General features: G+C 54.4%; 1 protein-coding gene across 1 annotated transcript in view, besides 4 other annotated features; it reads left to right on the forward strand.

Moving 5' to 3' along the window:
- Nucleotides 14,663-14,866: a silencer, noted in NCBI's record as "fragment chr9:132928978-132929181 (GRCh37/hg19 assembly coordinates)". NCBI's record gives its function as "represses an EF-1alpha promoter that drives an FKBP-Casp9 reporter gene in an ReSE screen in K562 erythroleukemia cells {active_cell/tissue: K562}" and the evidence as "EXISTENCE:reporter gene assay evidence [ECO:0000049][PMID:32094911]".
- Nucleotides 19,482-20,270: an enhancer, noted in NCBI's record as "H3K27ac-H3K4me1 hESC enhancer chr9:132933797-132934585 (GRCh37/hg19 assembly coordinates)". NCBI's record gives its function as "activates a minimal SCP1, AML or CMV promoter by ChIP-STARR-seq in naive H9 embryonic stem cells {active_cell/tissue: H9 hESC(naive)}" and the evidence as "EXISTENCE:reporter gene assay evidence [ECO:0000049][PMID:30033119]".
- Nucleotides 20,345-20,434: a silencer, noted in NCBI's record as "silent region_20400". NCBI's record gives its function as "represses an Ori minimal core promoter by ATAC-STARR-seq in GM12878 lymphoblastoid cells {active_cell/tissue: GM12878}" and the evidence as "EXISTENCE:reporter gene assay evidence [ECO:0000049][PMID:35858748]".
- Nucleotides 20,368-23,655, forward strand: part of NCS1 (neuronal calcium sensor 1) — a 64,900-nt gene continuing 61,612 nt past the window's right edge. Inside the window, exon 1 of the mRNA NM_014286.4 lies at nt 20,368-20,691. Coding sequence (NP_055101.2) covers nt 20,628-20,691 — 64 coding nt within the window. The 5' untranslated portion in view covers nt 20,368-20,627. The remainder of the gene's footprint in view (nt 20,692-23,655) is intronic.
- Nucleotides 21,732-22,642: an enhancer, noted in NCBI's record as "H3K4me1 hESC enhancer chr9:132936047-132936957 (GRCh37/hg19 assembly coordinates)". NCBI's record gives its function as "activates a minimal SCP1, AML or CMV promoter by ChIP-STARR-seq in naive H9 embryonic stem cells {active_cell/tissue: H9 hESC(naive)}" and the evidence as "EXISTENCE:reporter gene assay evidence [ECO:0000049][PMID:30033119]".

Raw genomic sequence — 23,655 nt, forward strand, 5'->3', positions numbered from 1 at the left:
TACCTCTGTGGAATGAGTCTCTCTGGACCCTTTGGAACTGCTCTGAGCATCGGGGATCCAGAGTGTCTTGCACTGGGCGATTCAGACAGAATTATGAACAACGCTGCATTACTCTTCTGGAGGGGCCTGCTGGGAGCCTTGTCCACACGGCAAAGCAGGGGAGTGTCTAGGGCCACTCAGGAGGCAAAGGGCCTAACTGTTGCAGGGCCTTCCAGGCTAAGGGCTGAACCTCACCCTCCGACCTGTAGACCATCAGAGACAGCTGGTAACCACTGGCGCGTAAGTCACCCCCAAGCCACCAGCCCATTTGGAAGATACTTAAACCTACATATTCCCTTCTCTCTAGTCTATTTTCATTCTGTCCCTCAGCCCTCTGAAGGGCACCCAGTGGCTGGCGAGACCCTGTCACCAGCTTGGTATTGAGAGGTATCTTAGTCTGTGTGGGCTGCTATGGCAAAATACCATAGACTGAGTGGCTTATAAACAACAGAAACTTATTACTCACGGTTCCAGAGGCTGGGAAGTCTAAGACCAACGTGTCTGCAGATTCCATGTCTGGTGAGGACCTGTTCCTCATGGCCATCTTCTCACTGTAACCTCACATGGCAGGATTTCTCTGGGGCCTCTTATTTATTTTTTGAGACAGACTCTCACTCTGTCACCCAGGCTGCAGTACAGTGGCACGATCTCAACTCACTGCAACCTCTGCCTCCTGGGTTCAAGTAAGTTTCCTGTCTCAGCCTCCTGAGTAGCTGGGACTACAGGCACATGCCACCACGTCTGGCTATTTTTTGTATTTTTAGTAGAGACAGGGTTTTACCATATTGGTCAGGCTGGTCTTGAACTCCTGACCTCAGATGATCCACCCACCTCAGCCTCCCAAAGTGCTGGGATTACAGGCGCGAGCCACCGCGCCCGGCTGGGACCTCTTTTTAAGGGCACGAATCCCATTTGTGACAGCTCCATCCTCATGACCTGATCACTTCTGAAAGGCCCCACCTCCTCATACCATCATCTTGGGAGTCAGTATTTCAACATAGGAATTTAGGGGAGGCCGGTTTGGTGGCTCATGCCTGTAATCCCAACACTTTGGGAGGAAGAGGCGGGATGATAGCTTGAGCCCAGGAGTTCAAGACCAGTCTGGACAACATAATGAGACCCTGTCTCTATATGTTAAAAAAAAAAAAAAGAAAGAAAGAGGCCGGGCGCAGTGGCTCACGCCTGTAATCCCAGCACTTTGGGAGGCCGAGGCAGGCAGATCACAAGGTAAAGAGTTCGAGACCAGGCTGGCCAACATGGTGAAACCCCTTCTCTACTGACAATACAAAAAATTAGCTGGACACGGTGGTGCATACCTGTAGTCCCAGCTACTCAGGAGGCTGAGGCAGAAGAATCACTTGAACCTGGGAGGCAGAGATTGCAGTGAGCCGAGATTGTGCCACTGTACTCCAGCCTGGGTGACAGAGTGAGACTCTCCGTCTCAAAAAAAAAAAAAAAAAGAAAAAAAGAAAGAAAAGAATGAAAAAGGAATTTTAGGGGAACACAAATATTCAGTCCATCACAGCATATTTCCTTCCAGTGGAGCAGGGCTGAGGACCACGAGGAGCGGGAGAAGCTGGGTGGTCAAGAGCTAGAGAGAGGCCAGTCTCCATGGACTGCCCCCCATTTTTGCCTCTTCTTCCACTTCCTGTCCCCGACCTGGAACCCAGCTCTGGGCAAAGGCAATTGGGTATTGCTGTTGTTGCTGGACAGGAATGGGGGCTGAGGAGCTGCTCCACTCCCCCGTCTCCATATTTCACCTGTTGGGAGAATAGGAGGAGGGGCTGGGTCACTAGGTTGGGTGCATTTCAGAGCCCAGGGAGCAGATACCATTGTTTTGCAAATGAAGCCCAGGGAGGTAGGGGGCTGTCCCAGACCTCCTGCCTTGCTGCAAGTCCTAGAGAGTGTTCCAGAACTTCACCTAGGCCTCTAAACTCTCAGCCCACCTGGGGCTTTTCGTACATCCTATTTTTTTCTTTTTTTTTTTTTTCGAGACAGAGTCTTTCTCTGTCATCCAGGCTGGAGTGCAGTGGCGTGATCTCGGCTCACTGCAACTCCACCTCCCAGGTTCAAGCGATTCTCCTGCCTCAGCCTCCTGAGTAGCTGGGATTATAGGCACCACTATGCCTTATTTTTTTTTTTTTTTTTTTGAGACGGAGTCTCGCTCTGTCACCAAGCTGGAATGCGGTGGCACGATCTCAGCTCACTGCAACCTCTGCCTCCTGGGTTCAAGCGATTCCCCTGCCTCAGCCTCCCGAGTAGCTGGGACTACAGGCACATGCCAACACGCCTAATTTTTTTTTTGTATTTTAGTAGAGACGGGGTTTCATCATGTTGGCCAAGATGATCTCAATCTCCTGACCTCGTGATCCGCCCGCCTTGGCCTCCCAAAGTGCTGGGATTACAGGCGTGAGCCACCGGCTAATTTTTGTATTTTTACTAGAGACAGGGTTTCACCATGTTGGCCAGGCTGGTCTTGAACTCCTGACCTCAGATGATCCGCCCGCCTCAGCCTCCCGAAGTGCTGGGATTACAGGTGTGAGCCAACACGCTCAGCCCTTTTTTTTTTTTTTTTTTTTGACGCAGGGTCTCACTCTGGTTGCCCAGGCTGGAGTACGGTGGCACGATCTCAGCTCACTGCAGCTTTGACCTCCTGGGTTTGGGTGATTCCCCCACCTCAGTCTCCCGAGTAGCTGGGACTACAGGCATGTGCCACCATGCCTCGCTAATTTTCTGTATTTTTAGTAGTGATGGGTTTTGCTATGTTGCCCAGGCTGGTCTTGAACTCCTGGACTCAAGCAATCTGCCTGCCTTGGCCTGAGTGCTAGGATTACAGGTATGAGGCCTAATTTGAAACATTCTTCCTCTCTGTTCCTTGGAATCCACACAAAGTCCTGTCTGACCACCTGTAGAGGGTCAGTCTTCAAAGGCCAGTCAAGAATCCTGGGTTGAACATGGAGCCCCAGGCAGGGCAGGCGGGAGCCAGGCACCACCATCGGCACAGCAGCCAATGAATGAGGTCTCGAGGCAATTGAGAATGAAGGGCACCTGCAAATGACAGGTGTCCCCTGGTGGCTGGACCCCAGGAAGGGGCTGTCAGGCTCCATCTGTGGAACCTCAGGAGCCTTGCTGGTGGGGTCCCCTCAGGCCCTCCTAGGGCTGCTTGGAGGAAGAGGCTATGGGGGTGGAGGGCTGGTAAAGGTAGGCTGACTTACCCACACAGCAAGCGCTTGGTAGCCCCAAACACCAGGACCCCTCTGCCTTCTGCCAACCCCAGCAAGGTGCCCACAAAACTGGGCAAAGTAACATGGTGGGTCACAGCAGAGCACACATCTCTTTGTAGCTAGATTTCGGGATTTTTTTTTTTTTTGAGACCGAGTCTCACTCTGTTGTTGCCCACGCTAGAGTGCAGTGGCGCGATCTTGGCTCACTGCAACCTCTGCCTCCCGGGTTCAAGCAATTCTCCTGCCTCAGCCTCCCGAGGAGCTGGGATTATAGGTGCCCGCCACCATCCCTGCCTAATTTCCATATTTTTAGTAGAGACGGGATTTTGCCATGTTGGCCAGGCTGGTCTCAAACTCCTGACCTCAGGTGATCCACGCACCTCGGCCTCCCAGAGTGCTGTGATTACAGGTGTGAGCCACCGTGCTCAGCGATTTCAGGCTTTTTATATGACACAGTGAGCCCAACATGCACAGAGAGGGGCTCAGACAAGCCTGACTTGAATCCTTTATGGCCAGTCACCAGCTGTGTGACCTGGTCCCCAGCTCCTCAACCTCTCTGGGCCTTGCTGCCTAACCCGCAGGATCCTGCAAAGGCTCAGCGAGCTGATGCACAGGGAGTACGTGGCGCCCTGCCTGGCACACAACCAGGCGCAGTAAGTGGTAGCTGCCATTGTTGCCGCTGGACTTACTAATTACCAAGGCTACGCCAAATTCAAGTCTAAAAACAAGAGCCGCTAAAGGACTCCAGAGAAGGCAGCGTGTCCTGCTTTCTCTCCTGGTCAATTCTGATGCCTCAAGACTGGCCCCCAACTTAGAACTGTTTTGTTTGTTTTTTTGTTTGTTTTGAGACAGAGTCTCGCCCTGTTGCCCAGGCTGGAGTGCAGTGGTGTGATCTCGGCTCACTGCAACCTCCGACTCCTGGGTTCAAGCGATTTTCCTGCCTCAGCCTCCTGAGTAGCTGGGATTACAGGCTCGTACCACCATGCCCGGCTAATTTTTGTATTTTTAGTAGAGACGGGGTTTCCGCATGTTGGTCAGGCTGGAACTTAGAACTGTTACAGCACACACTGTCTCAGCTGGACGGAACCTTGAAGCCCCTCATTGTACAGACAGGGAAATCGAGGCCCAGAGAGTGAGAGCGATTGTCTAAGTCTGCACCAGAGGTTAGTGGGCTTGGAGCCCAGATAGTCGCCTGGGATTATTGGATTCCACGTGTGGCTGACCTTAAGGATGGACTTCATGTCATTGCCAAAGGGCAGCTGGGGGTGGGGGACCGAAGAGGCCACGTCCACCCATTCAGCATTGTTGTTGTGGCTTCACTTTCAGTTGGGCATGGGGCAGGCAGCAGTGACAAGACACACACAGCCCTGCCCTCATGGGGTGGGGCTCCTGGATTGGCCCACATATAACTCATGTATGGGGGCTGAGACCCTGGGAGAACTGGGCCAGGACCTATCCCTTGGATCTGTCTGGGGGAGTCCATGTCTCAGACCCGGCTTGGGAAACCAGCAGGTGTCACCCTAACGGGCAGTGCTGGGACAGGCCAGATGGTGGGCAGCTCCCTGGCACCAGAGTGCGGAAGGGCTCCAGGGCCTGGCTCCTCCTCCCAGCTCATGGTCTGAGCGTCTCTGAGCTTGACCCTGGGAGAGCCCGCTGCTTGGAGGCTCAACTAGGAACCTGGTCAAAGCATCCACCCCACACCGGGAGGAGCAAGCCCCAGTTCACCTTCTCCCATCTGTAAGATGAGCACATTGGACCTGGTGGTCTTTGAAGTGTACCTCCCAGCTTTGAAAGCTCTTGAATCCTATGATAGATGGTATTTGGGGTGACTGCCCAAAACCCCCTTTCCTGAGGGTAGACCTCTGGAGCCATAACGACATGATCCCACCCTCATTGGCCACAGCTGATTGGACTGTGCCAAACAACTGGCTCATGTGGGCCATTCAGATCCTCCCTCCCAGATTCGGGCACTGTGACTCAGCCATCAGTCTGGTGGGCACGTGAGCTGGGGGGAAGGCGAGATCCAGGCGGGGGCAGAGGCTCAGGGAAAGCTGTCTATAGAGACAGAAACTGCCCTGATAGCTGGGGTCCCGGGACTTTTCCTTTAGCCTCTCCCCACCATTCATTCCCCATACTTGCAGACAAAGCACCTAAGTTACTTTGAGGCACCTCTCCGGCCCCCGCCCCTCCCGCCCCACCTACTAGGAGCAGCCTTGGCGAAACTGTCCAGCAAGCTACCCTGCCTACCTCCTGTCCGGTGTGGTCCTGTGACCCCTGCATACCCTCTCCTGGGACTTATGTATTTATTTATTTACGTTTTTGAGACGGAGTCTCGCTCTGTTGCCCAGGCTGGAGTGCAGTGGTGGGATCTTGGCTCACTGCAACCTCTGCCTCCTGGGTTCAAGCGATTCTCGTGCCTCAGCCTCCCGAGTAGCTGGGATTACAGGCACCTGCCACCACGGCCAGCTAATTTTTGTATTTTCAGTAGAGATGGGATTTCACCACGTTGGCCAGGCTGGTCTCAAACTCCCGACCTCAAGTGATCCACCCACCTCGGCCTCCCAAAGTGTTTTGATTACAGGTGTGAGCCACCATGCCGGGCCTCCTAGGACTGAATTTTGAGCAAACGGCTACACAGAGGGAGGAGAATGGCCAGGGCCAATGGCTGTGTCCTGAACTGACAGTCTGGAGACCCCGTGCCCTTGTTCCTGCTGTGTCGACCCCAGATCCTGCAGATTCCCAGGCCCTGCCCTTCCTCCTCTCCTGAGCGCTTCCACACGCATGTTGCCAATTCTGCTGCCACCTTTGGTCTCTGTTGCAGGCCACCCTAGAGCCTGGGTGGTTGGAGAGAGGAACCAGCTCCCTCCCAGTGGCTGTCCTCACTGTGGGTGCCCTGGCTGGCTCTCCTGCCCTTCTACTAAGTTCTCCTTTTTGCTTCATTGGCTTGGGAGCTTCTAGCCTTGCAAACAAAGATTCCCTGGCCTTCCCTCAGACACACGAAAACCGTGAGTGAGAAAATGACAGGCGCTGGGGAACACAGCCGGTTCCCCTGGCCCCCGGGAGAGTCTGTACAGCTCAGCCCACCACTGCCCCATGCTGGGATACCAGGAGGCCTCACCGAAGCCTCGATACTCACTGGGGAAGGTGAAGTTCATAGAGGGCATGTCTTCCCCAGGAAGCAAGAGGCTGCGAGGACCAGAACACACTGCCTGATGGCTCCCTGGAAAGAGAGCAAAGAGGTCCCTTCTCACACGCAGGGCACCTAAGAAAACTGAGGAGGGGCCGGACATGGTGGCTCACGCCTGTAATCCCAACACGTTGGGAGGCTGAGGTGGGCAAATCACCTGAGGTCAGGAGTTCAAGACCAGCCTGGCCAACACGGCAAAACCCTGTCTCTACTAAAAATACAAAAATTAGCCGGGCATGGTGGTGCACCTCTGTAATCCCAGCTACTCCAGACGGGCCATGCCGGGAGCGGAGGGCCGAGGGCTGTGGTCAGCCCGCTCCAGCAGGAGGACATGAGCCAGGCCTGTCCAGAGGGCTTCTGCATCCTCTTCTGGAATAAGGACCAGGGAGGTACCTGTTTCATGCCCAGGAGGTCACGATAGCGCCTATCAGCGTTAAATGCCATCTGGTCCTCGCAAGGAGCCCCGTCCCCTGGTTCACTGGCTTGGGGGTGCCCCCAGGTCAGGGTTTCCCCAGTGTGGGGTGGACACCCCCAGTGACCTAGGAGACAGTGATGTCAGGGATCACACAACCTCGTACCACACAAGTTTGTGCCACTGTACTCCAGCCTGGTGACAGAACAAGACACTGTCTAAAAAAAAAAAAAAAAGAAAAAAAAGAAAACTGAGGAGGGAGGCCTTTGTCCCTCTCCAGATGGACTTTGCATCTGTCTCTCAACAAGCAGGCTGCATGTTTATTCACAAATGCACTCGGCTCGGCAGCTCCATGTAATGACTGCTTCTCCCATGCAGGAGAGGCCAGCTTCAAGGTCCACAGCAGGCACCCGGGGCACCTCCATCCCCACTTACCACGGAGGAAACCGAGGCTCAGGGGCCACACGCCCAGCCCCGGCCCCACAGCCAGGACTAGCACTCAGACTGCTGGTGTGGGGGCCTTTCCACAGGAAGTTTGGTGACATGGTTTCTTTTTTTTTCTTTGTCAATAATAAGTATTATAAGAATATTGCTAAAACAAATATATTATTGTTTGTCAGTATTAATAGCCAGGTTTTACTAAATAGTGCTAAGCATTCTACACACATCACTTAACTCTCATAACAACCCTTGTGGGGGTGGGTGGTATTTTTATTATCCCTACTTTCCAGATGAGAAAACAGAGGCTTAAGGAGTTTAAGCGACTTACCTAAGGCCACACAACAAATAAGTGCAGTCCGGCTCCAGGGCCCGTGCTAACTAACCAGTGTTCCACTCTGTTTTTCTCTCGCACAACAAAAAAACAAGGACTGGCCAGGGGGCCCAGTAAGGCTGTGACCACCATGGCAGACAGCTCTGATGTGTGGGGATGCCCATCTCCTGGTCCTGTCTGAACACAGACTTGCAAATTGCCATTTGCCCTGAGTGGGGAATGATGTACTCCAGGTGAAGTCAGCCTGCCACCTGGCAGGCGAGGTGGGTGGGAGACACTATAGAATTCTTCCTAAGGGAGCACAGAGACACCTGTGCCCCAGCTGACTACTCCTCCCCAGTGACTATGATTGACAGCATAAGGGATCGAGCCACTCCCTCCAGCTGATTCTGCCTTGCCTCCCATTCCTCCCGACATAATGGTCCAGCAGCCACTACCCATGGGCTGGAGTTGGCAGCCTGCTGAAGAGGATGGTGGGGACAAGCGAGAACCAGCTCAGCGGGAGCCGGTGCGTGGTTACTGAGCTCCTGCTGTGGGCTGGCCACCTGCCGATGTGACATCAGAAGCTGAAGGAGCTGGTTGCTGGGTGGGCTCTCTCCACCACTGTCCATCCTGTGAATTTCAGCACTGTATTAGTCTGTTCTCATGCTGCTGATAAAGACATACCCAAGACTGGGTAATTTATAAAGGAAAGAGGTATAATGGACTCACAGTTTCATGTGACTGGGGAGGCCTCACAATCACGGTAGACAGCAAAAGGCACATTTTACATGGTGTCAGGGAAGAGAGAATGAGCTGAGTGAAAAGGGAAACCCTTTATAAACACATCAGATCTTGTGAGACTTACTACCAGTATGAGGGGAACCACCTCCATGATTCAATTATCTCCCACCAGGTCCCTCCCACAACACATGGGAATTATGGGAACTACAATTCAAGGTGAGATTTGGGTGGGGACACAGCCAAACCACATCAGGTACATTCCACAGACCTACTCGGGAGGCTGAGTGCTTCACTCCCTTCACCTGAGCCTCCCGCTGGGGTTTAATGTCACTCCACTCACCTGTAGGAAATGCTCTCTTCACTCCCCAATATCTTCTCCCAGGGGAGCAGGGACTCATACAACAATGGGCTCCTCGTGGTTCTTCTTATTTTTTTAGAGTTGGGATCTCTCTCTGTCACCTAGGCTGCAGTGCAGTGTGTGATCACGGCTCACAGCAGCCTCCTTGAACTCCCAAGTTCAAGCAATCCTCCTGCCTCGGCCTCCTGAATAGCTGGGACTACAGGCATGCCACCAAACCCTGCTAATTTTTAAAAACTATTGAGAGATGGGGTCTTGTGCTATGGCCCAGGCTGGAGGGCAGTGGTGCAATCATGGCTTATGATTCTTCAGCCTCAAACTTCTGGCCTCAAGCGGTCCTCCTGACTCAGCCTCCTGAGTCACTGGGATGATAGGTGTGAGCCACTGAGCCTGGCTTTCCTCATGGTTATTTATTCCATAGGACATTGGTTCTTCAGTATGCTAAAAGGAGTTTTAAAAGAATGTCCTACCCAAGTAAGTGTGGAAAATACTTCATTAAATAACACAGATTTCTTTCCTGCAGGACTTCTCAGAGCATTTACTATGCTAATGTGCATTGTGACTGGTCAACAGGGTGCTTATAGTATGGGATGCTCCCTAAAAACATTTGACAAGGGAATTTGTTTCCACCCAGGACATGTATACCACAGAAACTGGTTTTTCTTCAGAAGATACTGGATTATATACTTTTGACAATGTTTCTTTTAAATTTGAAGAACAAAATATGATCTAAAACTACTTCATTATTAATAAAATACAGTGTTGGCCAGGTGCAGTGGCTCGTGCCTGTAATCCCAGCCCTTTGGGAGGCTGAGTTGGGTGGATTGCTTGAGTTTAGGTCAAGACGAGCCTGGGCAACATAGTGAGACCCTTACTCTTAAAAAACAAAATAAAGGCCGGGCACAGTGGCTCACACCTGTAATCCCAGCACTTTGGGAGGCTGAGGCGGGCAGATCACGTGGTGGTGGGCGCCTGTAGTCCCAGCCACTTGGGAGGCTGAGGCAGGAGAATGGCCAGGACCCAGGAGGCGGAGCTTGCAGTGAGCCGAGATCACGCCACTGCACTCCAGCCTTGGTGACAGAGCAAGACTGTCTCAAAAAAAAAAAAAAAAAAAAGAAAGAAATACAATGTGACAAACACGGTGGCAGGTGCCTTTAAATCCCATCTACTTGGGAGGCTGAGACAGGAAGATTGCTTGAGCCTAGGAGTTTGAGACCATCCTGGACAACATAGTGAGACCCCATCTCAATTTTAAAAAAGGACAGACAGGCCGGGTGAGGTGGCTCATGCCTGTAATCCCAGCACTTTGGGAGGCTGAGGTGGGAGGACTGCTTGAGCCTAGGAGTTTGAGATCAGCCTGGATAAGATGGCGCAACCCCATCTCTACTAAAAATACAAAAACTAGCTGGGCATGGTGGCGTGTGTCTGTAGTCCGAGTTACTCAGGAGGCTGAGGTGGGAGGATCACTTGAGCCTGGAAAGTCAAGGCTGCAGTGAGCTGTGATTATACTGCGCTATAGCCTGGGAAACAAGAGTGAGATCATGTCTCAAAAAAAAAAAAAAAAAGAGAGAGACAGAGAAAAGAAATATAATGTAAGCACATCTGAAGTTGTTTTTTTTGTTTTGTTTTGTTTTGTTTTTTGAGACAGGGCCTTGCTCTGTCACCCAGGCAGGAGTGCAGTGGTGCGATCTGGCTTACTGCAACCTCCATCTCCCAGGTTCAAGCGATTCTCATGCCTCAGCCTCCCGAGTAGCTGGGACTACAGGAGCCTGGCATCACACCGGCTAATTTTTCTATTTTTTGTAGAGACAGGGTTTCACCATGTTGCCCAGGCTGGTCTCAAACTCCTGAGCTCAAGTGATCCGCCCGCCTCAGCCTCCCAAAGTGCTGGGATTATAGGCGTGAGCCACCGTGCCTGGCCGTTTTTTTGTTTTTTGAGACGGCGCTTCACTCTTTTGGCCCAGGCTCTAGTGAAATGGTGTGAGCTTGGCTCACTGCAACCTCTACCTCCCAGGTTTAAGCGATTCTCCTGCTTCAGCCTCTTGAGTAGCTGGGATTACAGGTGTGTACCACCACACCTGGCTAATTTTGTATTTTTAGTAGAAAAGAGATTTTACCATGTTGCCCAGGCTCGTCTCAAACCCCTGACCTCAGGTGATCCGCTGACCTCAGGTGATCCACCTGCCTCAGCCTCCCGAAGTACTGGGATTATAGGCGTGAGCCACCTCGCTTGGCCGTTTTTTTATTTTTTGAGATGGAGCTTTGCTCTTTTGGCCAAGGCTCGAGTGAAATGGCACAATCTTGGCTCACTACAACCTCCGCCTCCTGGGTTTAAGCGATTCTCCTGCCTCAGCCTCCCGAGTAGCTGGGATTACAGGCGTGCCACACACCCAGCTAATTTTGTATTTTTAGTAGAGAAGGGACTTCACCACGTTGGCCAGGCTGGTCTTGAACTCCTGACCTCAGGTGATCCACCCACCTTGGTCTCCCCAGGTGTTGGGATTACATGTGTGAGCCACTGCGCCCGGTATTTTTCTTTCCTTTTCTTTTTTCTTTTTCTTTCTTTTTTTTTTTTTTTTTTGAGATGGAGTCTCGCTCTGTAGCCCAGGTTGGAGTGCAGAGGCACGATCTCAACTCCCTGCAGCCTCTGCTTCCCAGGCTCAAGCGATTCTGCTGCCTCAGCCTCCTGAGTAGCTGGGATTACAGGCATGCACCACCACGCCCAGCTAATTTTTATATTTTTAGTAGAGACAGGGTTTCACCATGTTCGTCAGGCTGGTCTCGAACTCCTGACCTCATGATCCGCCCACCTCGGCCTCCCAAAGTGCTGGGATTACAGGTGTGAGCCACCACGCCCGGCCGTTTTCTTTTTTTTTTGAGACAGGGTTTCACTGTGTCGCCCAGACTGGAGTGCAGCGGCGAGATCTTGGCTCACTGCAACCTCCGCCTCCCAGGCTCAAGCCATTCTCCTGCCTCAGCCTCCCAAGTACCTGGGATTACAGGCATGTGCCACTACCACCTGGCTAATTTTTGTATTTTTAGTAGAGATGGGGTTTCTCCATGTTGGCCAGGCTGGTCTTGAACTCCTGACCTCAGGTTGATCCACCCGCCTCGGCCTCCCAAAGTGCACATCTGAAATTTTAAACTTCCTAGTTGGCACATTAGCAAAAAATTTTAAAAGGTGAAATTAATTTTAATACTATATATTTACCCCATTACATCTGAAACATTTATCAATTCAATATATAACGAAAATAAAAATATATTAATTAGGTGGCTTTTATTCCTTTCCTTGTACACGAACCTTTGGAATCGGTGTGTATTTGGTGCTCACTGTGCATCTCCATTTGGACTGGCCACATTTCAGGTGCTCAGTGGCCACATGTGGCTGGGGGGCCTCCCTGTTGGACATCACAGGTCTAGGCGTTTGCTACCATAGGGGAGTAGACGTCTGTGAGGGTTTGGATGTCACGGTTTGGTTTGTTAGAGGAACAGAGATGAGGCAGGCAGGGCCTCATAAGCCTTGTAGAGGCTTTCCCCTGAGAGCAAAGAGAAGCTTCGCTGGGGGGATGGATGCGGAAGATTAGCAATAGAAAGTCTTACTCTGGCTGTGGTATGGGGATTTGAGAAGGAGCAAGAAAGATGCTGCAGAAATTGCTTTGATGGCTTGGAGAGAGAGGGTGGTGGCGGGATTCCACTGATTGTGGTGGAGGTGCAGAAAACTGTCCAGCCACCCAGCAGGCGGAGCTTGCAGTGAGCCAAGATCGTGCCACTGCACTCCAGCCTGGGCGACAGAGTGAGACGCCGTCTCAAAAGAAAAAAAAAAAAGAAAAGAAAGAAAGAAAAAAGAAAACTGTCCAGCCCTGAGGGATTTTTTTTTTTTTTTTTTTGAGATGGAGTTTCTACCTTGTTGCCCAGGCTAGAGTGCAATGGCGCGATCTCGGCTCCCCGCAACCTCTGCCTCCCTGGTTCAAGCGATTCTCCTGCCTCAGCCTCCCGAGTAGCTGGGATTACAGGCATGCGCCACCACGCACGGCTAATTTTGTATTTTTAGTAGAGATGGGGTTTCTCCATGTTGGTCAGGCTGGTCTCAAACTCCTGACCTCAGGTGATCCACCTGCCTCGGCCTCCCAAAGTGCTGGGATTACAGGCGTGAGTCACCGCGCCCGGCCGAGGGCTCTTTAAGAATTGAAACCAACGGACAAGGTGTGGTTGATTGCATACAGAGGATGGGATTCTGCAGAGCAGGAAGGGCCAGGAATGTTTCAGACTCTGGCTGGAGCCTTTGGTTGTCAGCGGACCATTTGTAAAGGAACAAGGATTCTTTTTGTGGGGAGTGGACCGCGGTGAGTTATGTTTAGGGCCTGTTGAGTTCGAGATGCTTACGTGACATGAGAATGGATACTCCCGGTAATGCACCTACCTACAGGTCCACAGACTAAGCCCTTGGAAGGGGGATAGGCCAGGGCTGTTCATCTGGCAGAGGAGGAAACCGGGGCTCAAGGATGCAGCAACTGAGCGGAGCATTTGATCCAGAGTTTGCCCAACCTGTGTTTAATATTTTCCCCATGGACTTCCTGGAAGAGCAACCGAGCAAGCTTCCCTAACCCTAACCCTAACCCTAAACCCAAGCCAAAACCTAACCCTAAGCCTAAGCCAAACCTTAACCCTAAACCTAACCCTAACCCTCACCCTCACCCTCAGAAGAGTGAGCTTATGAAACCGTAGCAGGGACCCTTTTTGCTGAAAGGCAAGGGGGAGGGCTAGAGGCTGGGTTAAAATGCAGATTGCCAAGCTATGCTCCAACCTCAGTGACATTCATCGTGTGTGGAGTGGAAGCTGGGGATCTGGGTCATGGACAGGCCCCCTGGGGGAGTCTTGGTGATTCTAGAAGGCCTCTACTTTGGGGTATTTGTGGATGAGTGAAAAAAATTGACAAAATACTTTTCTTATTCAAAAGAAATGTGTGAGCTGGATGTGGTGGCACACGCCTATAATCCCATCATTTTGGGAGGACAAGGTGGAGGGATTGCTTGAGCCCAGGAGTTCAAGACCAGCCTGGGCAACATAGTGAGACCCCATCTATACAAAAAATTTAAAAAATTAGCTGGGTGTGGTGGTGTGTGCCTGTAGTCCTGCTGCTAGGGAAGCTGAGGCAGGAAGATCACCTGAGCCTGGGAGGTCAAGGCTGCTGTGACCCATGATTGTGCCACTGCACTCCAGCCTCGGTGACAGAGTGAGACCCTGTCTCAAAAACAAACAAAAACCACAAAACAAAAACACAGAAGCAATGTGTTTAATTGTAGAAAACAATCTGTAGAAAATACAGATGAGCCCGGGCGCGGTGGCTCACACCTGTAATCCCAGCACTTTGGGAGGCCAAGGCGGGTGGATCACCTGAGGTCAGGAGTTTGAGACCAGCCTGGCCAACTTGGTGAAATCCCGTCTCTACTAAAAATACAAAAAAATTAGCCAGGCGTGGTGGCGCATGCCTGTAATCCCAGCTACTTGGGAGGCTGAGGCAGGAGAATCACTTGAACCCTGGAGGTGGAGGTTGCAGTGAGATGAGAGCTCACCATTGCACTCCAGCCTGGGCAACAGAGCGAGACTCCATCTCAAAGAAAAAATAAATAAAATAAAATAAAATAAAATAAAGTAAAATAAAATACAGATGAGATTCTGAAATTAGTGGTGATGGTTACACAATATAGCAAATATACTAAAATGGCTGAATGTGTGCTAATTTAAAATGATGAAATTTATGCGAATTATATCACAAGAAAAAAATGCAAGGAAAAATGCAGATGAGAGAAAAAATAAAAGTGACTCATAATCTACCTGTACTGACAACTGATAGGATTCCCTGGAAGCCTGTCCTTCAGACAGCTTCCTACATGGGTGCAGAGATTTATTTTCATTATTCTATACACAACGGTTTATAACCTGGGTTTTAAAAATCATTTAATTTGACTTATTTATTTATTTATTTATTTTGATACGGAGTCTCACTCTGTTGCCCCGGCTGGAGTGCAGTGGTGCAATCTTGGCTTACTGCAACCTCTGCCTTCCGGCTTCAAGCGATTCTCATGTCTCAGCCTCCCAAGTAGCTGGGACTACAGGCAGTGCACCAACATGCCCAGCTAATTTTTGTATTTTTAGTCGAGACAGGGTTTCACCATGTTGACCAGGCTGGTCTCGAACTCCTGACCTCAGGTGATCTGCGCAACTCAGCCTCTCAAAGTGCTGGGATTACAGGCGTGAGTCACCACGCCCGGCCTGGTTTTGTTTTTTCTGAACATAGACCTCAACATCCTCCTTGGGTGTTTCACAGACATCTCAGATCCATTGCTGAGATCATCACCCCCTCTCTGAACCTGGTCCTCGTCTGGTGACCCCATTTTGAGAAATGCATCCATCCCTCAGGGGCTCCTGGACACCACCAGGGGGCCACTCTGACGCCTCTGTCTCCTGTAGGGCTGCTCTTCCCAACCCAGAGATCCACGGTCATGCCTTCCTCTCTTGTCCCTCCAACCCACATCTAATCAATGGCCACTCAATTTCCCAAGTCCTCAATGGCATCTCTGCCTTCACCCTGCCTGCTCCAATCTGCACAGCAGCCAGAAGGATCCCTTAACCTGTGAATTGGCCATGACACCCCAACTGGAAGATGGGCTGCACGTTTTTCGTTTGTTTGGTTGTTTTTCTCTTTTTTTGAGACGGAGTTTCACTCTTGTCGCCCAGGCTGGAGTGCAGTGGCGCGATCTTGGCTCACTGCAACCTCTACCTCCCAGGTTCAAGCACTTCTCCTGCCTCAGCCTCCTGAGTAGCTGGGACTACAGGTGTGCGCCACCACGCCCGGCTAATTTTTGTATTTTTAGTAAAGATGGGGTTTCAGCATGTTGGCCAAGCTGTTCTCAAACTCCTGACCTCAGGTGATCTGCCAGCCTCGGCCTCCCAAAGTGCTGGGATTACAGGTATGAGCCACTGCGCTCAGCCTGGGTTGCACGTTTTTTTCACTTAAACATCAAAATCCTGTAGTGGAAAGACCTGGAACCTCTGCTTCTTGGATTGTGACCAGGGCATCAGAGAGCAGATCTGAGTCCTTCATGTGGTGGCTCAGGCTCAGCATTTTAAGCTGATGTGGGCAGGGACCTTTTCAGCTAAAAACCAGGTCAGGAAGAGGGATGGCTGGTCCCAAGGCCCAGCACTTTCCCACATGCCGTCCCCACATCACGGGGGTCCAAAACACTCCCCCCACCCTTCCCCAAGCAGTTCCCATGCTTCTCCCTCCTTCCTAAAACACATTCTTCCCTGGCTTCCAGCACTGCCTCCTGGTGGTCTTCCTACCTCCCCGTCAGCACCCCTGCTGTCTCCCTGGCCTGACCTTCTCAGCCTACACTCCCTCCCTCGGTGACCTCATCCTGTCTCAAGACTTTAAAGGGCATGTCTGCCAGGATGGCTCCCAGTGCATACCTGCAGCCTGGACCTGTCCCTGAACTCCAGACGCCTGTGCCACCTGCTTTCTCCCGTCACCACTTGGACATCTGGTAAGCATTTCACACCTCACCTGTCTGCAGTAAGATTCCAGCTCTTCCTGTCCAAACCTGTCCACTCCCCATCTTAGCAAATAGAAACCCCACTCTTCCATAAGCTCAGCTCAGAAAGCCCGGCCTTGTCCTTGAGTCCCCTCTCTCCGTCTCATACCTTCCAGCCCCCAAATGTCTCTCCTGCCTTCCAGCCCCCAAATGTCTCTCCTGCCTTCCAGCCCCAAATGTCTCTCCTGCCTCTAAGCATACTCCATCCACTCCTGCTTTCCCCTGAAGCCCCTGCCCAGGCTGACCCCCGGGCCCCAGGAAGTCTTCAGATGGGGATGGACTTGCTGGCCTGGAGGAGCTCATTCTGCAGAGGAGGTAGGATGGGCCTCAGCTGGAGGGATCTGGTGTAGACTTGGGAGCAGAATGTCTCCCAACCTTGAAGACCAACTCAGAGGAGACAGCAGTGAGGGAATCCTGCTCTCACTACCCTCAAAATGTCACCGAGTCTAGCCAGTTCTGTGTCCTCCAAGGCCACACTACACGTGGCCACCACCACCTCCTGGCTGATGATACAGTGACCTCTGGCAGTTCCCCATTCTTACCCATCTGTGCCTGGAGTCAGTTCTCCCTGCAGCAGCAGCTGAAGGGGCCGGCTAAGCACATCAGATCCCTTGAGTCGGGAGTCTGACCTTGCCTCCCCACTCTGCACCTCGCCCTTTAAAGCCCACCTTACTGTACCCCTGCAAGGCCACACACAAGGCTGTACGTGGGCCAGCTGGGCTCCACCTGGGCTCTGCCACGGGGCCTGGGCGATGCTCCCCCTCTGCTCTCAGTGAGGCTCCTTCTCTAGCCAACACCACACACCTCCGGCCCTCAGCCCTTCCCATTTTCCTTCCCGCCTCATTTTTCTTCTTTCACCTGTGAGATACATTCTACTCATGCAGCGTATTTATGGTTTCTTTTTTCTTTTCTTTTCCTTCCTTCCTTCCTTCCTTCCTTCCTTCCTTCCTTCCTTCCTTCCTTCTTTCCTTCTTTCTTTCTTTCTTTCAGACAAAGTCTTGCTCTGTCACTCAGGCTGGAATGCAGTGGTGCGATCTCAGCTCACCACAACCTCTGCCTCCCAGGTTCAAGTGATTCTCCTGTCTCAGCCTCCCAAGTAGCTGGGACTACAGGCGTGCACCACCATGCCCGGCTAATTTTTGTATTTTTAGTAGAGACGGGGTTTCATTATGTTGGCCAGGCTGGTCTTGAACTCCTGACCTCGTGATCCGCCCGCCTTGGCCTCCCAAAGTGCTGGGATTACAGGCATGAGCCACTGCGCCCCCGTGTTTCTGGTTTCTATGCTGCACTTATGCATGTTGTTTATTGTTTATAGCACTCTCCCCTCACGAAAGTGTAAGGTCCCTGATGGCAGGGATCTGGTCTATGTCCCCAGGGCACATAGTAGGTGCTTAGTAAACATGTCCCGAATGATGGGATGAATCTGTGAAGTCCCTGAGTTCCTTGGCAGGTGTTCCCATGTATGTTCCCCCACCCTCTCCATTCCTTGCATGGTGTTTGTTGCCAGTGTGATTTTGTGATCGCTGTGCAGCAGGTCGGGTCAGATCCGTGAGCTCCCATGTTGGTCTCAGTGCCCAGCACGGCACCTGGCACAGGGGCAGTGAGCAAGAAATACTCACAGGATGAGTACCTGGGTTTCTTGTGTGTGTGTGTGAATGCATGTGAGTGTGTGAGTGTGTGTGTGTGTGTGTTGAGACAGGGTCTCATCACCTAGGCTGGAGTACAGTGGTGCCAACAGGGCTTACTTCAGCCTCTACCTCCTAGGCTCAAACAATCCTCCTGCCTCAGCCTCCCGAGTAGCTGAGACTACAGGCATGTGCCACCATGCCCAGTTAATTTTTTTTTGTATTTTTTGTAGGAATGGGGTTTCACCATGTTGCCCAGGCTGGTCTTGAACTCCTGAGCTCGAGCCATCCACCTGCCTTGTCCTCCCAAAGTGCTGTGATTATAGGCATGAGCCACCATGCCTGGCCTGCCTTCCCTCCCTCCCTCCCTTCCTTCCCTCCTTCCTTCCTTCCTTTCTCTTTCTTTTTTTCTCTTCTCTTTTCATGTGTGTGTGTTTGTGTGTGTGTGTGTGTGTGAGAGAGAGAGAGAGAGAGAGAGTCAGGGTCTTTCTCTGTCACCCAGGCTGGAATGCAGTGGCACAATGACGGCTCACTGCAGCCTCGCCCTGCTGGGTTCAAGTGATCCTTCCACTTCAGCCACCCGAGTAACGGGGAGTTAGGCATGTGTCACCAAGCCCAGCTAACTTTTAAAAATTTTTGTAGAGATGAGGTCTCCCCTGTCAGGCTGGTCTTGAACTCCTAAGCTCAAGTAATCCTTCCACCTCAGCCTCTCAAAGTGCTGGGATTACCAGCATGAGCCACTGCACCCAGCCTGAGCACCTGGGTTTCTAAAGGGCTTTAACTACTACTGCTGTCATCCAGCCAGGCCCTGGTTCCCGTGCTGGCTCTCCCTCCTCCCAGGCAGGATGCTCAGCACAGTCTGGTCAACTGTTAGCCCCCCACTGTGGGCCCCTCACTGCTGTCCACTCTGAGTTGGTCCTCAAGGTTGGGACATTCTGCTCCCAGGTCTACACCAGATCCCTCCAACTGGGCCCACCTCCTCTGCAGAATGAGCTCCCCAAGCCAGCAAGTCCATCCCCATCTGAAGACTTCCTGGGGCCTGGGGCTCAGCCTGGGCAGGGGCTTCAGGGGAAAGCAGGAGTGGATGGAGTATGCTTAGAGGCAGGAGAGATATTTGGGAGCTGGAAGGCACTCGGCCCTGCTCAGGGTTCCTCTGAGCTTTCTGGACCCTCCGAGGTTAGAACACTGTGGAAAGAAGGGAGAAAGAGACCCCACTCCTGCCTCATCCCTGCTAGCCCCGGGGAGGGCTGCCTCATCCTCCCCGCTCTCTCCCCTACCCCAGGGCCCCAGCACCGGGTGTCATTCTTTCCTCCGTCCTTCGCTCATTCACAGAGATTTGCTGGGTAACACCTCAGGCGGCCTTCTGGGTTATGGAGATGCCTCTGCCCTCTGGGAGGGTGTTCTCCCATGGAAGAGACAAACAGGATGCAGAAAACATAGGTGACGTTTGTGATGGATGTGAAGGAGAGAAACTAAAGCCGAAAAGGATAGGAGAGTTCTCAAGATATGATGATATGTTGGATGAGGTGGACCGGGAAGGCCATGCTGGACCTACCACCTGAACCACACCCCCCTACGCGAATCCACTGGCCTCTGTCCATTCAGGTGGAGCCTGTCACCCCAGCCTCGGCTCAGAGAAACAGCTCTGAGCAGCTCTGACCTGTCACTCCAGCAGCTCTGACCCATCACTCTCTGCTGAAGTCCTTTCATGGGCGCTGGTGGGCAGGGGCCCAGCTCCTCGGCGAGGGGCCTCTCCTGGCCTGCCCCGTGGGCCCTGCCCTTCTCCCAGGTCCCCTGTGCCTGCAGCCGTGCGCAAGCCCGCAAGCCGGGGAACTCTCCCTCGGGCATGCAGGCCTCCCCGCCTCTCCAGGTTGCCTGGGCCAGAACGCTTCTCCATCCACCTCCCTTCCTGACCCTGGGTTTGGAGGTCTCCTGCCCCCAGGCCGAGAGTAGGTGCTCCCACCGCTACCTGCCGCATCCCGCACAGCCCCCTGCCCGCCCTGCGAGGGCTGGGGCACTCCTGTCCCGTGGGCCGCCGTGTCCCCGGCACCCCATGAATCCGTGTCGAATGAATGAATGTCTCCGGGCCGGGACCTGGCCTCATTCACATCCGATCTTCCGGGCCCTCCCCGCCGCGGCGGGGGCCGGAGCGCCAGGGCTGGATTCGGGGAGGGGGTGGCGGGGGTGGCTGCCCCGCCCTGGGGCCGCGTTGAGCCGAGGGGACGCCCCTCCGGCTGGCTGGCGAGGCCGGGGTCCAGCTGGCGGAGGCCGCGGCCAGGCGGGTGCGGGGCGGGAGGTGGCGCCGGGCGCTGAGTGGCGGCTCCGGGTCCACCCCTGGCGCGCGGGTGCGGGCGGGAGGGGGGAGGCGGGAGGCGGGGAGCGCAGGGGCGGCGGCAGGCGGGAGGCAGCAGCGAGCATGTGCCGCGGAGCCCAGTAACCAGGGACGACCGCGGCCACACCGCGCCGGCGCCGGCGCCCAGCCCAGGCAGCCCCGCGCCGCGGCGCCCGGACCGCCCGGGCCTGCCCAGCGGCCGCCCCACGCCCCGGGCGCCCCGGCGCCGACAGCCGCGCAGCGCAGCGCGGGCGCCGCAGACAAAGGCGCGGCCCCGGCCCGGCCCGCCCGGCCCAGCCGCTCCTGCTGGGCGCCCCAACCGGGTCCGGCCCGGGGGGGCGGGGGCCGCGGCCGCCGAGGATGGGGAAATCCAACAGCAAGTTGAAGCCCGAAGTTGTGGAGGAGCTGACCAGGAAGACCTACTGTGAGTGCTCCCAGCCCCCAGCCCGCGCCCCGCGGTCACCCCCACACCCACCGCCCCCGCCCCCGCCCCCCGGACCCGCGCGCTACCCGCTCCGCGCTGCCGCCTCCGCTCCGTCCTCCCCGCCCGGCCTCCAATGTGGACCCCTCGGAGGTTCCCGGGCCGCGCCCCTGCCCCCCGCCCGGCCCCATTGTTCTGGCACCCCCAGCCCGGGGAGTGCGCGCCGGTCGGCGTGCGCGGCGCCACCCCTAGGTCCGGAGGGGCAGCCCCAGCCCCCTGGCGGCCCCCTCTCCGCAGAGCTGTCCCAACGGGCAGGGGCTGTTGCCAGGGTGGGGCGGTGGTCCCGGGAGGGGGCGCCCGGCTGCGCGGAGCCGACTGGCACGAGCGCGCGGGGCTGGTGATTCATGCATCACGATGCCGCCGCCGCCGCTGCTGCGAGATTGGCCTGTCGCCCCCTCCCTGGCCCCGTTCGTGTGGGGGGGGGGGTGGCGAGACTTGGCACAGCGCTCGTCGTGCGGTGACGGCGGTGAAGGGTCCCCGGCACCCTGTGGGTTGCAGCACTTACAGGCTGGATTCTCCCTGGCCCCATCTCTGTCTGCCACACCGGGAAGTGGGTTTCTACAGCCCGGGTCATCTGGGCCGCGTGTGATCATTAGCTGTCGCGGGCTGCCCGGAGGAGGATGGCCTGTCCTTTCTGGGCGTCTCCAGATCAGCCTCAGTGTGTCTCCCTCCACTTGCCTAACTTCACAACTCTGCAGTCCCCTTGCAGTCCTAGTTTCTCCATACCAGGCTTCCCCCTTCCCTGCAGCCTCTCCGGAGGTGCCCTGGCATACCAGGGGTTAATGGTAATGGGTCCAGACCACCCAGGGGATTGCCAGAGGGAAGGCTTCAGCATCGGGGTCTGGAAGGACCTCTGCCTGGGTGTTTGACTTGGAAGGGGACAGTGGTTCTGGGCTTGGGTTGGAATTCAGAACCCATCCCCGGGCAGCTGCGTGGGCCCAGGCCCTCTGCACCACCCCTGGAGGCAGCAGCTTGACCGCCAGCCCCATGTGTTGATGGAGGCTGGGGAGGCAGCTCCTGGTGGTGCATTGCACAACCTCTGCTCCCCGCTTCCCCCCACTCCATCGGCCTTCTGGGCACGTCTGCAGGTCTGTCCAAGCCCACGCTTCAGCTCCATGCCCCTCACCCCTCATGCTTGGAACAAAGGGGGCTTTCCTGAGCGGGTGCTAGTCTGCTGCGAGGTGCTGGCCCTTCTCCTGTGGAATCCTGCAGCATGGAGCTCACATCCCAAGAGCTGCTACCTGGAAGGGGTGAAGCCCCTGGGCACAGGGGCTGTTCTCACCCTCTCTCCAAGGTGGGCAGGTGGGTGGCCCATTCCAGTCTGGCTGCTGTTTTGTGAGATTCGCTGGGGACTCCTTCAAGCTAAGTCCAGATGTGGCCCACAGCCGCCAGCAGGTGGACTTCCTGGGTCCCTGTGCCGGGGGAGGGTGAGGACACCGTGGGCTCCATCAGGAGTGGTGGGCATGGGCTGCACGGGATGCCTCCATCATGGTGGGACAGGGGAGTGAAGCCAGGTTTCCTGCTCATCGAGCATGTCACGTGCCAAGCTCTTGGCATCATTAGCACCTCGACTCTGCCACAACTGCTCTACCAGGCTGGGTGCTGCTACGATCTCCATTTACAGATGGGGAAACTAAGGCTCAGAGGGGCAAAGTGGCATTCCCATGATCCCACAGCTAGTGACCAGGCAGTGCCAGGACTTGAACTCCGGTCTGTCCTGCTCCAAGGCTAGTGAGAGACTTCAGAGCTCGTGCCAAGAGCTCTTCTGGGCCAGGCACAGTGGCTCACGCCTGTAATCCCAGCACTTTGGGAGGCCGAGGCGGGTGGACCAGCCTGACCAACGTGGAGAAACCCCCATCTCTACTAAAAATACAAAATTAGCTGGGCATGGTGGCACATGCCTGTAATCCCAGCTACTCGGGAGGCTGAGGCAGGAGAATCGCTTGAACCTGGGAGGCGGAGGTTGCGGTGAGGTGAGATTGCTCCAAGAGGGAAACTCTGTCTCCAAAAAAAAAAAAAAAAAGCTCTGCTGGGTGTCTTTTTCTGGCTTTTGCTAGAAGCCCATGATGGTGGATTCTAAATGGGAAGGGCCTGGGGTGATAGTCCTGTCCGGCCCCCTCCTCCGGGCAGATCTGTCAACTTTAAGAGAAGTTGAGTCAACAAAGCTTTGTTAGGAACTGGCCCTTGTGGTGCTGGGCTGGGCTATTTTTAAAGGCCTTTGGAGACGTGGAACAGTTTTGGGCAGAGAGAGAGTTGGCCTGGGTACTTTTCCTCTGTCGAAGCCCTTATTAGGGGTGGGCCGTTGGAGGTGGCGGTGGGTTCATTGGCCTCCTGTCTGCCTCCCGCGCTGACGTCAGCTCCCTAGTGCAGGCCCTTGTGTGTGGAGCTCACAGCTGTGTTCCCCCCATGTGTTGGCCTTTAGTAGGTTCACAGAATGAAAAGTCTCCCAACAGGACAAGCAGAGAAAGCTTCCAGCTTGTTCTCCCGCCCCCAGATGGGCTTCCTTCTGATGGGGAGTGGAGCCATCTGCTCTTTGTTCTGGGGGATTCTGTGTATGGGGTCAAGAGAAGCGCCCCAGGAAGGACTCTCAAATGTCAGAATCTCCTGGTTGATTAATAAACATGAAGGTACCTGGGCTGCCCTCCCGGATTTCCGATTCTTTAGGTCTGGCTGGGGCCCAGGAATTTGCATCCTTGACACGTGTTTGTGCTGCAGATGGTGGTCCTGGGGAGCCCGGATTGAAGACCACAGTTCCAGTGTATGCTGGGGGTCCTAGCCCACCTCATGCATAGCTGGCCACAGTGCCAAGGGGGCCTAGAGGGGAGCCATGGGTCCACGTCCGAGTCGGTGCTGGGCAGTGTCCTTGGTGGGCGTCTCTGGCTCTGTCTGTGGTGGTCTGTGTGTGTG

Source organism: Homo sapiens, chromosome 9 (assembly GCF_000001405.40).
Source record: "Homo sapiens chromosome 9, GRCh38.p14 Primary Assembly".
NCBI lineage: Eukaryota > Metazoa > Chordata > Mammalia > Primates > Hominidae > Homo > Homo sapiens.